Source organism: Homo sapiens, chromosome 7 (assembly GCF_000001405.40).
Source record: "Homo sapiens chromosome 7, GRCh38.p14 Primary Assembly".
In the NCBI taxonomy this organism is placed as follows: Eukaryota; Metazoa; Chordata; class Mammalia; order Primates; family Hominidae; genus Homo; species Homo sapiens.
In genome coordinates, this window is record NC_000007.14 from 87,469,486 (window position 1) to 87,485,458 (window position 15,973).

Below are 15,973 nucleotides of genomic sequence, written 5' to 3' on the forward strand. Positions count from 1 at the left end.
CCAAAGCCTCCTTAAGCTGATAAGCAACTTCAGCAAAGTCTCAGGATACAAAATCAATGTGCAAAAATCACAAGCATTCTTATACATCAATAACAGACAGAGAGCCAAATCATGAGTGAACTCCCATTCACAATTGCTTCAAAGAGAATAAAATACCTAGGAATCCAACTTACAAGGGATGTGAAGGACCTCTTCAAGGAGAACTACAAACCACTGCTCAACGAAATAAAAGAGGACACAAACAAATGGAAGAACATTCCATGCTCATGGATAGGAAGAATCAATATCGTGAAAATGGCCATACTGCCCAAGGTAATTTATAGATTCAATGCCATCCCCATCAAGCTACCAATGACTTTCTTCATAGAATTGGAAAAAACTACTTTAAAGTTAATATGGAACCAAAAAAGAGCCTGCATTGGCAAGTCAATCCTAAGCTAAAAGAACAAAGCTGGAGGCATCATGCTACCTGACTTCAAACTATACTACAAGGCTACAGTAACCAAAACAGCATGGTACTGGTACCAAAACAGAGATATAGACCAATGGAACAGAACAGAGCCCTCAGAAATAATACCATACATCTACAACTATCTGATCTTTGACAAACCTGACAAAAACAAGAAATGGGAAAAGGATTCCCTATTTAACAAATGGTGCTGGGAAAACTGGCTAGCCATATGTAGAAAGCTGAAACTGGATCCCTTCCTTACACCTTATACAAACATTAATTCAAGATGGATTAAAGACTTACATGTTAGACCTAAAACCATAAAAACCCTAGAAGAAAACCTAGGCAATACCATTCAGGACATAGGCATGGTCAAGGAGTTCATGTCTAAAACACCAAAAGCAAAGGCAACAAAAGCCAAAATTGACAAAAATGGGATCTAATTAAACTAAAGAGCTTCTGCACAGCAAAAGAAACTATCATTAGAGTGAACTGGCAACCTACAGAATGGGAGAAAATTTTTGCAATCTACTCATCTGACAAAGGGCTAGTATCCAGAATCTACAAAGAACTCAAACAAATTTACAAGAAAAAAACAACCCCACCAACAAGTGGGTGAAGGATATGAACAGACACTCCTCAAAAGAAGACATTTATGCAGCCAATAGACACATGAAAAAATGCTCATGATCACTGGCCATCAGAGAAATGCAAATCAAAACCACAATGAGATACCATCTCACACCAGTTAGAATGGCAATCATTAAAAAGTCAGGAAACAACAGGTGCTGGAGAGGATGTGGAGAAATAGGAACACTTTTACACTATTGGTGGGACTGTAAACTAGTTCAACCATTGTGGAAGACAGTGTGGTGATTCCTCAAGGATCTAGAACTAGAAATATCATTTGACCCAGCCATCCCATTACTAGGTATATACCCAAAGGAATATAAATCATGCTGCTATACAGACACATGCACAAGTATGTTTATTGCAGCACTATTCACAATAGCAAAGACTTGGAACCAACCCAAATGTCCAACAATGATAGACTGGATTAAGAAAATGTGGCACATATACACCATGGAATACTATGCAGCCATAAAAAATGATGAGTTCATGTCCTTTGTAGGGACATGGATGAAGCTGGAAACCATCCTCAGCAAACTATCGCAAGGACAAAAAACCAAACACCTCATGTTCTCACTCACAGGTGGGAACTGAACAATGAGAACACTTGGACACAGGAAGGGGAACATCACACACCGGGGCCTATTGTGGGGTGGGGGGATGGGGGAGGGATAGCATTAGGAGATATACCTAATGTAAATGACAAGTTAATGGGTGCAGCACACCAACATGGCACATGTATACATATGTAACAAACCTGCACGTTATGCACATGTACCCTAGAACTTAAAGTATAATTTAAACAAATTTAAAAAAATAAAGAAAAAAAAACTTCTAAAAAAATAAATAAAACCAGCTTTCATTTGATAAACAATTTATTCTCCAAAGTGCTAATTTTTTTTTAAATTGCCCTTACTGAGGCTTTTTAAACAAATAAAAAAAGAGGAGAGAAGACAATGAATAGGGGCTTTTGGTTACATGAGAAGTATGCAGCAGTGTTTGAGAGTGTGGATGTTTTGGTGTCTTTTTATCCATTTAATTACTAAGTTGGATTTCAGCTGACATGACACTTAATTCTAACTTCTTTGCTACCAAATAATGGCTGTCACAGTTTGAAACACGTCATATTTACCAAAAATGGGCAAATGCTTTCTTGAGCTGCCTCTGTAAGACATATTTCAAATGAAAACCAGATGAGGAGACTTCTTCCAAAAATATTGTCTTGTCTTGTACCAACAGAAAAGCACCGAAAACTGTTTTAAGCATAATCAGAATTCCTAATAGTTACCCCCTATTTAGCCAATTTTTTGGAAACCAAATGTGAATGTAGATTCCTTAAATTAAAATTTATGTACTTAACAATTACTTTCTTGAAATGCAAGCTTATTTTAAGCTAAATTTGGGGTGGGGGTCTGTGAAGCAAATGCAGAAATGCATTTTCTTGAAATTGTTGAGTTTGCATTGTGCTACTAACACAATTCCCATTTTCACTTTCCTTGCACACCAGTTAGCTCTGTCCGGTGTCATCGCCAGCCTGTCTCTACTTTTTAAAAAATCATCCATCTTAAGAATGTGGGTCATTGACTATAATAAGCCAAACTTATACAGCACAGGTGCAGCAAGGACAATTTATTGCTGTCTGCAGACAGTTTTTTGTTGTCGTTGTTTTTGAGACAGGGTCTTGCTCTGCCACCCAGGCTGGAGTGCAGTGGTGTGATCATAACTCACTGCAGCCTCAGACTCCTAAGACCCTCCTGCCTCAGCCTCCCAAGTAGCTGGGACTACAGGTTCATGCCATGACATATGCTATTTTTTAAGATTTTTATTTTTATTATTTTGTAGAGATGAGATCTCACTATGTTGTCCAGGCTGGTCTCAAACTCTTGTGCTCAAGCAACCCTCCCACCTCAGTCTCCCAAAGTGCTGGGATTACAAGTATGAGTCAGCTCGCCTAGCTAGACAATCTTAAAGTATTTGCTTTAAAGGTAATTGATTCAATACCTCAAATTTGAATAAAAGGTAGGATTATTCACATTTAACATTTCACAGCTTACCAATGTTAATACTCCAATCATTTTCACTGTCTTCGTTTTTTTCCTTTTTTGTTTGCTGTAAAAAATAGAATTGCTTCAATTTAAAACTGTTACAAAATGTTTTACAATCAATTGAACATAAATATGTTTAGTTACAATATTCAACTATTATATTTTCAAATATAAGAGTGATGTTCACAAAATGTCAAAATTATTCAGTTCAACAAACATAGCAAGCACAAAAGTAACTGTCGAAGGTACTACAAAGATACATGGATACATAAGAAATGGTCGCCTGCCTTACAGAGCTCACATACACAGGAAAGATAAGTATGCTAACAGTGTCGCTAAGTCAATTAAGTTATTTGTTTTCTAAAATTAAAAAAAATCATGATTTAAAATTAGGAATGTCTATTCTTCTGAAGGATTGTGGAGAGTGGTGTCAGGCAATCTTGTTGGTGATACATTCAAAGTACATCTAGAATTTAACCACTTATCACCAGTTTCATTGCTGTCACCAGTAGGGCAGCCTCCTGCCTAGTCTCTCCACTTCCACCTATGCCGCTTCAGTCTATCTTCAACTAGCAGTCAGAGTAATTATTTCAAAATGCCAAGCCATACACTACTTCTTTGCTCAAAAACCTACAATGGCTTTCCTTTTTCTTACAATAAAAGCCAAAATCCTTGCATTAACCTCTGAGGTCCTACACGATCTGTTTGCTTATTTCCTCTCTGACCACATCCCTACTCCCAAACCTGCTTACTCTGCTCCAACCAGCCTGGACTCTCTGCTGTTCCATGAACTCACCAAACATGTACCTGACTCAGGGTCTTTGCATTGCCAGTTACCTTTTCCGGGAATGCTCTCCCCTTAGATACCCACACAGCTGTCTCCTCTCATTTCTTTCAAGTCTTTGCTCAAATATTACCTTTAAAATAAGATCTACCCTAACCACCCTACTTAAAATTACAAAGTACTCCCCTTTTGTACTCCTGATCCCCTTAACCTGGATTAATGCTTTTTTCCATGGCGTTAATTACCTTCTAACATTGGCTGTGGTTTACTTATTTAGTATGTACATTATTTATGTCTGTCCTCCGTACTATAATATAAACTCTATGAGGGAGTGTGTGTGTGTGTGTGTGTATGATGATTTATATATATATGATGATTTTTACATAAATATGATGCATTTATCCAGGTAAATGATAAAGTTTTACTCATAAGATGATTCCAAATTATGTAAAGTATTGACTAAAATCACTGGACAAACATCTGCCACTAAATATGTTCAAAAGAATGTGCCATGGGCAATAGCAACATAATTAGAACAAGAATATAACTAATTTGATTGAAGCAGGCTTAACTTCCTTTAAATATATTATCTTTGGTCTGCTTTTATAAAAATTAGTTTCACTACATTTGATTTCATAATCATGTGGTCTTAACTTATTGTTAACTTTCTGTATTTCTCTTTTGAGCTGCTTTCTTCTTTCCAGCAGAAGCTGTGGGCTTCCCCTCTGAGGACTTTCCTGGGTTCTGAAGTGTTACTACACCTTTTGTAGGAATAGCTCCTTTGCACACGCATCAAATGTTAAGCCAGTGCAATACATAAATAGACTTCTTCATGAAAATGCCATCTATTAATAGACTCACAGTCAATCCCTGCCTAAACAGCCAGCTGATGAAAACCATATTTTTCTATTGCGTGTGTAAGTACTTCCATTGGAAGTAACACCATCTATCACTTTTTCAATTCTACATGGCAAAACTAAATTTTCTATGAAAAAATACAATGGTGCTTAGAAGAAATACAGCAAGGTTACTGCACAACCACATTAACAGGCTAAAATAATGCTTCAGTTTAAGCATCAGGTAGGCATGTTTTCAGTTAGCTAATCAAGCCCCTAGCAGCTTGAGGACAAACTACAGAGACTGATAAATTTGTCCCTCTGGGTGATCACTTGACACAGGTCAATTTTTTCTGGGTAGCCTGGTATGAACTCAGAGACCGTAATAGCCTCATAAACTATTTCAGGCTAAAGGCGAAAATGATTCACTATTCCCACAGTGAAAGAGGAAACAAAGACACACGCCATTGACTGGGAACTTCTGCCCCGCTCATAAAGCCTGTGAAGTGAGTTTAACAAGGGCCAGGGGAACCGAGAAAGACATGAAGGCAAAGGAAGCGCTGCTTCCCCCTACCACTTGAACAAAACTGATTCGGATGTACAGAAGTTCCCCCTCCCCACCTATCCTCCCAGAAAGGAGAAATACAAATAAGCCTGGCGATGAGAGGAGGGGGAGGGGTAAGACAAGGAGGAAGAGACATAACAGGGGATGGGCAGGAGGGGAGGGAGTTTTTGCTTCACTGCCCTTGTTCAAAAAGCACAGCCATCAACAGCAGATGTCTGACACCCTTTAAGTCTGAACAATCAGATGATGTATATGAAAGTCATTTGTAAAAGTTTCAAGAGTTACGTAATACAATGAATGTTATACAATGCAGATATTCATTGAATCCCCCCTGCACAAAGGGAAGGGAGCACTTTTCAAGACAGCCTTTTCTTCCTGAATCTGTTCCAAAAGGAGCCTCAGTGACATTCTTTGAGGCCACACAACACGTTTGCTCCAAGGTCAGAACCGGATGCAAGACCCTTCAAAGAAGCCTCCAAAACAAAGGTCTTCAAAGGCATCAACCGATTTTTACAACTTCTTTCCAAGGGTGAACTTAGTCCTGCTGATTGGCGTGTAACGGAAAAGCCAGTGGCTGCTGGGGATGTACCTGCTGATGCCCAGTTCAAAGTCGCCCTCCGCGCTCGTGGGGCGCCAGGCTGTTCCGTTCTTTGCCGCCTCAAGATCCATCTCAGCCTGAGGAGAAACCACAGCCTCAGAACCAAGTACACCCTCTCCGGCGGCCCGGCGCACGAGTCGCGGGGCCCGGGGGCACTGGGTGGAGGTCCGGCCACTCCCGCCCCGCGCCCCACGTCCCGGGTCTCCCTTCGAGGCCAGACGCGCCCGGACCTCTCTCACCTCGAACCTCGCGCGTGTCTGGCAGGGCCTCTGGACGCGCGGGCGCTGCAGCAGAGGGGCCTGGACTTTGCTCGCCGCGGCCTCGCCCCCGCCCCCGCCCCCGCCCCCCACGCGCGTCCGGCCCGGGAAACGCCTACCGTTGCAGCCAGGGCGAGGGCCGCGGCCCGCGAGAGCAGCTCCCGCCGCCCGCCCAGCTCTCTCCCCAGGCTAGGCGCGGGCCAGGGGCGCAGCCTGCCGCTCTTGCCGCCGGGGCGCCCGGCTGGGGCCGCCGCCCACCCTGGCGACCCGCCAGAACCAGCCCGGTCGCAGGATAAGACCGAGATCAGGCTGGAGCCTCGGGTGCCGAGAAAGCCTCGCCTGATGGGCCACCCAAGCCCCTGCAGATGACTGTCACACCCCATGGGCGCTCAGTTTTGTTTTTAAACCCATAGGGGAGACAGTTTCCGGACGCCCAACAATCACAGGGCGGCCCAGGACCGAGAGAGAGCAATAGACTCGCCTCTTGCTTCCGCATCCCCAGTTCTGGTCCAGGTGGCACTGAACCCAATTATCTCCAAGGACGGCGAGAGTCAGCCAGGGCCGGCAGGAACCATCACATTATGCTCCTTGGGGAGGAGGAACGCTGTTGGTGCCCTCTTAGCACTTAAGAGACACAGAGTTTTAGGGCTAGAGGGGTCTTCAGCGATCATCTAATTAAAACCCCGTATGTTTAACATATGAAGAAACGGATGCCCAGAGAGGTGAAGTCCTGCCTGAGGCTGCATCGGTGGAACCAGAGTCTAGGGGAAGCCTCCTGAGTCCCAGTCCAGTGCCCTGGCTCACTGCTCTCATCTAAGACTTCTGTCTGTATTGAATTGTCTCTGCTCCTACCACCTATTTGAGTATGACTTTCTTCTTTCTGATTAATTCCTCCACACTCTTCCCAAAAGGAAGTGTCTAAAACGGGGAGCCATAAGTTTCATGGCTTTGAAACCGGAGACTTTCAAACTCAGAGCTTCACATCTTATTAACTATGTGACTTTGGACACTGTGCTCATTTCTCTAGGCCTGTTTCCTTATATGTAAAATGAGGATAAAAACATCTCCCTTATCAGGTTATTGCGAGGAATAAATGAGTTGAGGATAAGGGAATTAAGTACTAGGTAAAAGCACCTAGTACTATGCCTAAAACATAGTAGGTGAGCAACAAATACAACTTTCCTTCCTTCTGATCAGGTAGCAGGATGACCAGTGGGTCCTTGCACCTGCTATGTCCTGTTAACACAATTGTTAGCCCAAGGCTTGTCTGAGTTCTCAGAGAACCTTAAAGCAGAGCATGGTATAAGTAGAGATGCTGGGTGGACCCTGGTGTGAATCTCACCTTTCCCATGTACCAGCTGTCTGGCCAGGTTATGTAATTCTTGACTCAGTCATTGGATCTATAAAATAAGGGTGTTATTAGGATTAGGGATACTGTGTGTAAAGTGTCCTGCACGTAGGAGACACCTAATAAATGGTGACTATTATTATAGTAAAAGTTCAGGCGAGGCCAAGGAAGAAAGACTGGAACAGGAGCCAGCAGCTTCGGCACTCACCCCTTACTTGTGCTGTGCCTCTGCATCCTGCTCTGCCTGCCACCTGGAGCTAAGGTGGAACTTGACTTGAAACTGCATGCTGGAGTAGAAATGAATTTAGTTGAGTATTTTTCCTCAAAATGTTTTCTCTCCATATCAGTCTACCATGACCATGAGGATTCTCTTCTTAAATCAACCCAAATTCCTTCCCTTCACTGGTCTAACAGGCGGTCAGATCATTATTTCAAGATACTCTGAGACGGAAGCAGTTGGAATTGTGTAGTTTGAAAGAAGGCTTGTGGTGACTGGAGGACATTATTAAACTCATTAGCACATAAGGAGATGACAGTTTCTTCAGTCTCTAATAAAAGAGAATTTGATAAAGTAAATGCAGATACTTGAAGGAGTAGGAAGGTTCAGAACAAAAACTAAAGCAAATAACATGTATGAGGCAATGAGGTGTATTTGCCTGTCTGTCTGTCTGAGCCGATTCACAAAGTTGTCCCTGCAAGAAGCCATGCCTATATGGCTGTGTTTACTTCTTTACCTGTATTACATCCAATTCCAGGAGCTCCTTTTATATTTATTTGATAACAGTGCAGTATCACTGAGAATTCCATCATTTATTCATCAACTAGAAGTTGAAGACTTACAATATTTAAAGCACTATGATAAACTAGATTTCTCCATTACACTCAGGCTGTAAGAAATCTTTACTTTCCCTTTACAGTAGAATATTGAGATACTTATGCATTGATGTAAGGCTGGAATTAATGCCCTACCACGCTATCTTACTTTTTCTATTTGCCCCATTGGTTCCATCTTTCTTTTTTATCCTCACTTTTGCCTTATTTTAGATCTGTTTAATATTATCATTTAGATTTCCTTTCTATAAGATGTATTCTTTTATTTTCTATTTAATAATGATCTCCTTTCTAGGGATTATGACATGTATCTTTGACTAATCATTGTACTTTTTCCTCTTCCAGGACAATGCAATGATTTTAGAACTCTTAAGTCTCTTTTTTATTCACCCCTAACTTTTACATTGCCATTGTCATGTACTTTAATTTTCTCTGTATATTCATGACTCTTCTGGGAATATTATTTCTTTATGAGTTGATACTTATTTAGCTTTATCAAAACATTTATCATTTTCTTGCTTTTTGTTTCTTCCTACATCTCAAAGCTACCCTCTTGGATCATTTTCCTTTCACCTAATGAGCACTCTTTCATCTACTGTCTCTTTCTTGTTTTCTTTAGTTTGTGACAAATTTTCTCAGCTTTTTTTTCCTGAAAATTTATTTCACTTTTATCTTGAAAAATTATCAGTTATTTATGGGTTTGCCTTACTAAATAAATATCAAAACTCATTATCAAACTATGGTAATTAGAGACATGTGTTTTGGAATGAGACAGACAAAGTAAAACAGAATCAATATCTTATAACTGATGGAACTAGAATTCGAATCCAGGGAGTATCCTTATCCGCTATGACTAGCAGGGAAGTGGAGATGGAGAACATACGTCAGATGTATCAGAGAGTTAAACACAGTCATTCTTTAATGCATCCTTCAGTCCACTGATCTTACCACCTTTTTACTGTTCCTCACCTCCTTCATGTCTTCTCTCTTAACTCAGCCTGAAAACACCCACAACCCTCTAGCCCTCTCTCTTTATCAGGCTTGCTTAGTAAAACCACAATCCTGGATAATTCAAGTTACTGAGCTACTGTGAACCTACACCATGCAGCAGAACATGTCTGAAGAAAAATACAAAGTCATCGGGCTTGCCTCGCCATGAACTTACATGGCCCTATACTGTATACATAATGTACTTATTATGTTTATTATTTATTGCCCACTCTGTGGGATGCAAGACTTATGAGGGCAAAGATTTTGTAAAATTCACTATGTATCCCAACGTTTACTGACCAATAGTCATAAGATGTTTTCTTAGTTCATTCACTCACCTGCTTTTCTAATAATTATTTCATATCGTCTGTTTTCTCAAATTCTGTTCTTTTACATCTTCACATTCTGCTAAATTACCGTGCTTATTTCACTGATGAAGTTGAAGTGTTTAGAATGGAACTCCATAACCTCCTACCATGATATTTTTCCACTTACCAGCATCTGTACCAACACTCTGCCTTTGCTGTTTCTGTAAATGAACTATTCATGCCTCTCTTTGCAGCCAGTCTTTGTTTGCATGTTCATCCTGTAGATCCCATCCCCTTTCACTTTCACAAGGAGCCATTCTTCCCTTTCTGTCCTATATCATCAATTTCCCCATGCCTGCTGGATCCCTCCTGTGAGCTTACATACATACTGTTATTTCTTCCATCTTGAAAAACAAACAAAAAACCTCTCTTGACCACACTTCCCCTGCCAGCTACCATCATATTTCCCTCTTTTCCTTTGGAGCTAAACTGGTTGGCAAAGTTTATTACTTTCTTCAATTCCTGTTGTTCTCTCTGAAACCCACTCTAAACAGAAGTTTGATCTTTCCACACTACCGAAACTATTTTTATAAAAGTCACTGATAATCTCTGCTTTGCTAAGTCCAAAGATCAATTCTCTGTTCTTATTTTACCTGACAAATTCAATAATTTGACAGATTTATCACTCTGTCTTTCTGAATATATCTTTTTCATATAGATTCCAGGACACCATATGTTTCTCGGATTTTCCTATGCTTTCCTGATCACTCTTCCTCAGTCTCCTTTGATGCCTTCTCTCTCTCTCTTTTTTTCAACTACTTACCTAACACTGGAGTGGTCCAAGGCTCATTCCTTGGACTTCTCAGTCTATTCTCGCCACTTCTGTCATGTCAGTCAGTCACACAGCTTTAAATACCATCTGTATCGAATAATTTCTAACTTTTTGTTTCTAGCCTAAAATTCCCTCTTGCATTCCTGACTCTTAAACACAAGTGCATCTTTGACATTCCTATCTGGATGTTTAACAGACATCTCAAGCTTAACATGCCTAACCTGCTCCTGATCCTTTCCCCAGGCTGGGCCCTCCAGTGAACTTCTGCATCCAGTTGGCAGCTCCAGACTTATAGTTGTCAACAAAAACACTGGAATCATCCTGCATTCCTCTCTTTCTTTGACACACCATAATCAATCTGTCAGGAAATCTTGTTGCCTTTACTTTCAAAATATATTCAGAATCTGACCTTTGCCCTGCACCTCCAGCTCTACCACCATCATGCAAGCCACTATCATCTCCACCTGATTTTCTATAATAGCTTGTTAATTGTCTCTCTGCCTCTGTCCTTTCCTCCTCTTCCGCCTTTGTCCATTGTCAAAAGCATGGCCTGGATGATTCTTTTGAAATGTGAGTCACATCACATCACTCTTCTCTTCACATTTCTGTGGTAGCCCCCAATTCACTCAGTCATGGCCTACAATGCTGTGCCCTCTCCGTGACCTCTCTGATCTCATTTTTATTTATTTTGTCTTTGCCTAACTCCACTCCAGCCACACTGGCCTCTTGGATATTACTCAGACAAGAGAGGCAGCACTCCACCTCAGGGTGTTTGTACTAGTTGTTCCCCCTGTCCAAAATTATCCTCCCCAAAATACTGACATGGAGGACACTCTCACCTCCTAAAAATCTCTTCTCAATTAGAAGTTGGATCTTGTACCCTCAGGACTCTCAGTTCCTCTTATCCTACTTTGATTTTCTTTTCCACAGCATTTATCACCTTCTAGTATACTATATCATTAAAGAATTTATTATGCTTATTGTCTCTTGTCATCTTAGTAGCACATAAGAGCCGTGAGAGTAAAAATATTAATATGTTTTCATTTCATTCGCTGGAATATCCAATAATTGCTGCCCACACTTACTATGTGCAAGGACCTGGGCTAAGGTTTTAGGATAAAAAGTTTTAGGCATATAAAGAAGGATTTAAACAAGGCTAATGCAAAAGTTACTCAGATTATATAGTATTTTATGAATTTACAGAGCCTATCACACATATATATCATCTCATTTGATTCTCAAAACAAGGAGCATGTTCAAGGTAAACAAGTGAGGAACTATTATTCTCAGTTTAGAGGTGGGGATATCAAAGTGAATTTTACACAGCTAGTAAACAATGGAATTAGGCTTCCAGCTCTGGCCACGTGACTTCAGCTTCTCATTCTGTATTCCTATTGAAGACCACTGTTAGACAGAAGCCTTACCTGTTGTATTTCTAGTGCCCACAGCACCAGTGGGCTCAGTAAATGTGTATTGAATAGATCAATATTTTTGAACTATAGCATAAAAGGGTTTGTACAAAAAGAATTTCCTATAAGTAAGAGTCAACAGAGAATAACAAATTCCATCTACCAAAGTATTTTCAAATTATATTCAAATATAAATTAATTAGCAACAATTTTTCCTAAAGAGGGTGCTATGATGGACTCTATTCTCTGTCCTGTTGACTTATATCTTGACAAATATGCTCTGTGGTCTTTTCCCCCACTATATTGCATTTGTGGCTATCTAACAATTCTCCAAATTTTCATGTCTGAAGATAGTGAAAATTTGACTATTCTGTTTGCACTTGGCTGCACTTAACTACTCTTGAATCATTTCCAAACTTTTGGTCACTAATGTTTTTTACTTCTGCTCAAACTACCTTCTCAGAGTTTATAGATCTTAATTTTTCCTGCCTTTACTTCCTTCAACCCATGTTACATCTTATACTTCTCCCAAAGTTTTTTTTTCTTTTTTAAAAAACCCTTCTCATTGCTTGACTCAGAAATTTTTTGCTTTGCCTTTGACCTTTCTCTTAAAAATATTATTTCCTTTTGGTTTCGTTCTTCTTTTGTTCATTATAAAATTCATCTAATTCGGCCCAGCACACCCAAAGGCACTCATAAAGATGTTGAAGACAAGGGTAATACTGATTCAGCTCTCTCTCTCTCTGTTTTCCACTAAACTCTTCCTTATACCTTCATAAACTAGGGTGGACTTGCAAAGGTACCATGACAAGAAGTAGTTAGAAGAATTTGCTATTAATCACTATGTTATATCATTTCTGCCAACGTGGATTAATGGGCACATTGAGAGTTCCAAGGTCACATTGCCTAATGAAATTCTTGTGTTCTGTGAGAGTAATGAAAACCACTGGGTGGACAGGGAGGGCTGCAAGGTGCCAAGGCCAACGATGAAATGGATAAGCAAGAGTAGGGTCACTAGGCTTAAGGTTATTGACATTTACTAACTCTTAAAGTTATTCTAAAGCTAACGCTTTTCAAAATAAAAGAATGACTAAAGGAAGTTCTCTAAATAGAAAATTATAAACAGGAGAAACTTAGAATATCTAGAATAAAGAACATGGTCAAGAAAAATATTGGTAAATACAAGAAACTTTCCTCTTCCTATTGAGTTTTCTAAATTATTTTTTATGGGTGAAGCAAAAATTATATCACTGTCTGATGTGGTTCTAAATATAAGTAAGGGAAATACATAAGACAATTACAAGTGAATGAGAGAGAGTAAAGGGATATAAGGGAGATAAGATTTCTACACTTCACTCAAACAAGTAAAATGATGAAAATAGTAAAGTATGATAAGTTATTTATATATAATGCAATACTCAGAGGACCACTAAAAAATCTACACAAATAGATATAGTCAAGACTACCACAGGTAGAGAAGAAGGGCAGGGCAAGATGGCTGAATAGAAGGATCTACTGATTGTCCCTCTCTACAAGAACACTAAATTTAAACAACTATCTATACACAAAAAGCAACTTTATAAAAGCCAAAAATCAGATGAGCACTCATAGTTCCTAGTTTTAACTTCATATCGCTGAAAGAGGCATTGAAGAGGGTAGGAAAGACAGTCTTGAATTGCTGATGCCACCCTTCATCCTCCCAGCAGTGGCCACATTGTGCGGAGAGAAAAGCTATGTGTTTGGGAGAGGGAGAGCACAGAGATTGTGAGACTGTGCATTGAACTCAGTGCTTCCCTGTCACAGTATAAAGCAAAGCTGGGCTGAACTCAGTTGACACCTGCCCACAGAGGGAGCATTTAGATCAGGCCTAGCCAGAGGGGAATCACCCATCCCAGTTGTCGGAACTTGAGTTCCATCAAGCTTCATCACTGTGGGCTAAAATGCCTTGGGGCTCTAAATAAACTTGAAAGTCAGTGTAGGCCACAAGGACTGCAACTCCTAGGTGATTTCTAGTGCTAAGCTGAGCTCAGAGCCAGTGGACTTGGGGAGGCACATGACCTACGGAGACACCAGCTGGGGCAGCTAAGGAAATGGCTTGCACCACCCTTCCCCCAACCCCAGGCAGCATAGCTCATGGCTCCAAAAGAGATTCCTTCCTTCTGCTTGAGGAGAGGAAAGGGAAGAGTAAAGAGGACTTTATTTTGCATCTTGGTTACCAGCTTAGCCACAGTAGGATAGGGGACTGGTCAGAGTCATGAGACTCACATCCCAGGCCCTAGCTCCTGGACATTTCTAGACATACGCTGGACAAGAAGGGAATCTACTGCTTTGAAGGGAAGGAACCAGTCCTAGCAGGACTCATTACTTGCTGACCTTTGGGCCCCGAATAACCATCAGTGATGCCCAGATAGTACGCCATGGACATGGACCTTGGGTAGGACTCTGAGATGTGCTGGCTTTAGGTAAGATCCAGCACATTACCCGCTATGGTGGCGGTGGTGAGAGACTCTTTGCTTGAGAAAAGCAGGTGGAAAAGTAAAGGAGACTTTGTATTGCACCTTAGGTACCAATTCGGCCACAGGGTCAAAGCACCAAGCAGGCTCTTGGAATCCAGGCCTTGGCTCTTTTATGGCATTTCTGGACCCGCCATGAGCAGAGGGTGCCCACTGCCCTAAAGAATGAGTTCCAGACCGGGCAGCATTCACCACAAGCTGATTGAAAAACCTTTGTGCCTTAAGTGAACCGTGGCAGTAGCCTGGAAGTACTCCCCTGGGCCTGTGGTGGTGAAGGCCAGGGGGCGAGGCTCTCCTGCCTGTGGAAAGGGGAGGGAAGAATGTGTCTAGTGGTTTGAGTGCCAACTAAACTGCACACCAAGTAGATTTCTAAGGATTCTGACTCCAGTCTCTGGCTCTCAGACTACACCTCTCAACCTACCCAGGGCCTGGGGGAACTCACCACCCTGAAGGGAAGGATACAAACGTGGCTAGATTTACTACCAGCTGATTATAGAGCCCCAAGGTCTTGAGCACACATTGGTAGCCAGGTAGTGGTTACATCAGGCCTTGAGCAAGATGCAGTACTGTGCTGATTTCAGGTCTGTCCTAGTGCAGCCCCAGTGGTGTAGCCACAGAGGAACTTGTGTCATCCCACCCCAAGCTCCAGGATGTCCAGCACAGAAAAAGAGAGAGGGAGAGAGAGAGAGAGAGAATTTGTTTGTTTGGGAGAAAGTAAAAGAAGACAACAAGAGTCTCTGCCTGGTAAGAAATTTTCTGGATCTTATCCAAGACCATCAAGGCAGTACCTCTATAAGTCTGTAAGAAACCACAATGTTACTGGGCTTAGGGTGCTCCCTAATGCAGATACAGCTTAGATCAAAATACCCAAGTACTTTCAAACACCTAGAAAAGCCTTCTCAAGAAAGATGGGTACAAACAAGCTCGGGCTGCAAAGACCAAAATAAATACCTAACACTTCAATGCCCATATACTGACCGATACCTACAAGTATCAATACCATCCAGGAAAACATGACCTCACCAAATGAACTAAATAAGTCACCTGGGAACAATACTGAAGAAAGAGATATGTGACCTGTCAGGCAGAGAATTCAAAATAGCTGTTTTGACATATAGACCAATGAAACAGAACAGAGACCTCAGAAATAATATCGCACATCTACAACCATCTGATCTTTGACAAACCTGACAACAACAAGCAATGGGGGAAAGGATCTCCTATTCAATAAATGGTGCTGGGAAAACTGGCTAGCCATATGCAGAAAACTGAAAGTGGACTCCTTCCTTACAACTTATACAAAAGTTAACTCAAGATGGATTAAAGACTTAAAACCCAAAACCATAAAACACTAGAAGAAAACCTAGGCAATACCATTCAGGACATAGGAATGGGCAAAGACTTCATGATGAAAATGCCAAAAGGAATTGCAACAAAAGCCAAAACTGACCAATGGGATCTAATTAAACTAAAGAGCTCTGCACAGCAAAAGAAACTATCATCAGAGTTAACAGGCAACCTATAGAATCTGACAAAGGTCAAATATCCAGAATCTACAAGGAACTTAAACAAATTT

At 41.0% G+C, this 15,973-nt stretch overlaps 1 protein-coding gene across 19 annotated transcripts in view, besides 4 other annotated features; it reads right to left on the minus strand.

The window, feature by feature from the left end:
• Nucleotides 1–6,542, minus strand: part of ABCB4 (ATP binding cassette subfamily B member 4) — a 110,132-nt gene extending 103,590 nt beyond the window's left edge. For 10 of the 19 annotated variants that reach the window (XR_007060047.1, XR_007060046.1, XR_007060050.1 and 7 more), the window contains exons 1-3: nt 6,286–6,542; nt 5,901–5,986; nt 3,136–3,190 (exon numbers count right to left, since the gene is read on the minus strand). Coding sequence is in view for 8 of the 19 variants with exons in the window: in XM_011516309.4 (XP_011514611.4) it covers nt 3,136–3,190; nt 5,901–5,980 (135 nt within the window). In the remaining 11 variants the exon portion in view is untranslated. Of the gene's footprint in view, nt 1–3,135; nt 3,191–5,900; nt 5,987–6,148; nt 6,196–6,285 lie in introns of those variants that run through there. The other 9 variants (XR_007060054.1, XR_007060052.1, XR_007060053.1 and 6 more) reach the window with 1 other exon arrangement.
• Nucleotides 5,382–5,451: an enhancer, noted in NCBI's record as "active region_26232". NCBI's record gives its function as "activates an Ori minimal core promoter by ATAC-STARR-seq in GM12878 lymphoblastoid cells {active_cell/tissue: GM12878}" and the evidence as "EXISTENCE:reporter gene assay evidence [ECO:0000049][PMID:35858748]".
• Nucleotides 5,922–6,061: a silencer, noted in NCBI's record as "silent region_18347". NCBI's record gives its function as "represses an Ori minimal core promoter by ATAC-STARR-seq in GM12878 lymphoblastoid cells {active_cell/tissue: GM12878}" and the evidence as "EXISTENCE:reporter gene assay evidence [ECO:0000049][PMID:35858748]".
• Nucleotides 6,072–6,271: a silencer, noted in NCBI's record as "silent region_18348". NCBI's record gives its function as "represses an Ori minimal core promoter by ATAC-STARR-seq in GM12878 lymphoblastoid cells {active_cell/tissue: GM12878}" and the evidence as "EXISTENCE:reporter gene assay evidence [ECO:0000049][PMID:35858748]".
• Nucleotides 6,322–6,571: a silencer, noted in NCBI's record as "silent region_18349". NCBI's record gives its function as "represses an Ori minimal core promoter by ATAC-STARR-seq in GM12878 lymphoblastoid cells {active_cell/tissue: GM12878}" and the evidence as "EXISTENCE:reporter gene assay evidence [ECO:0000049][PMID:35858748]".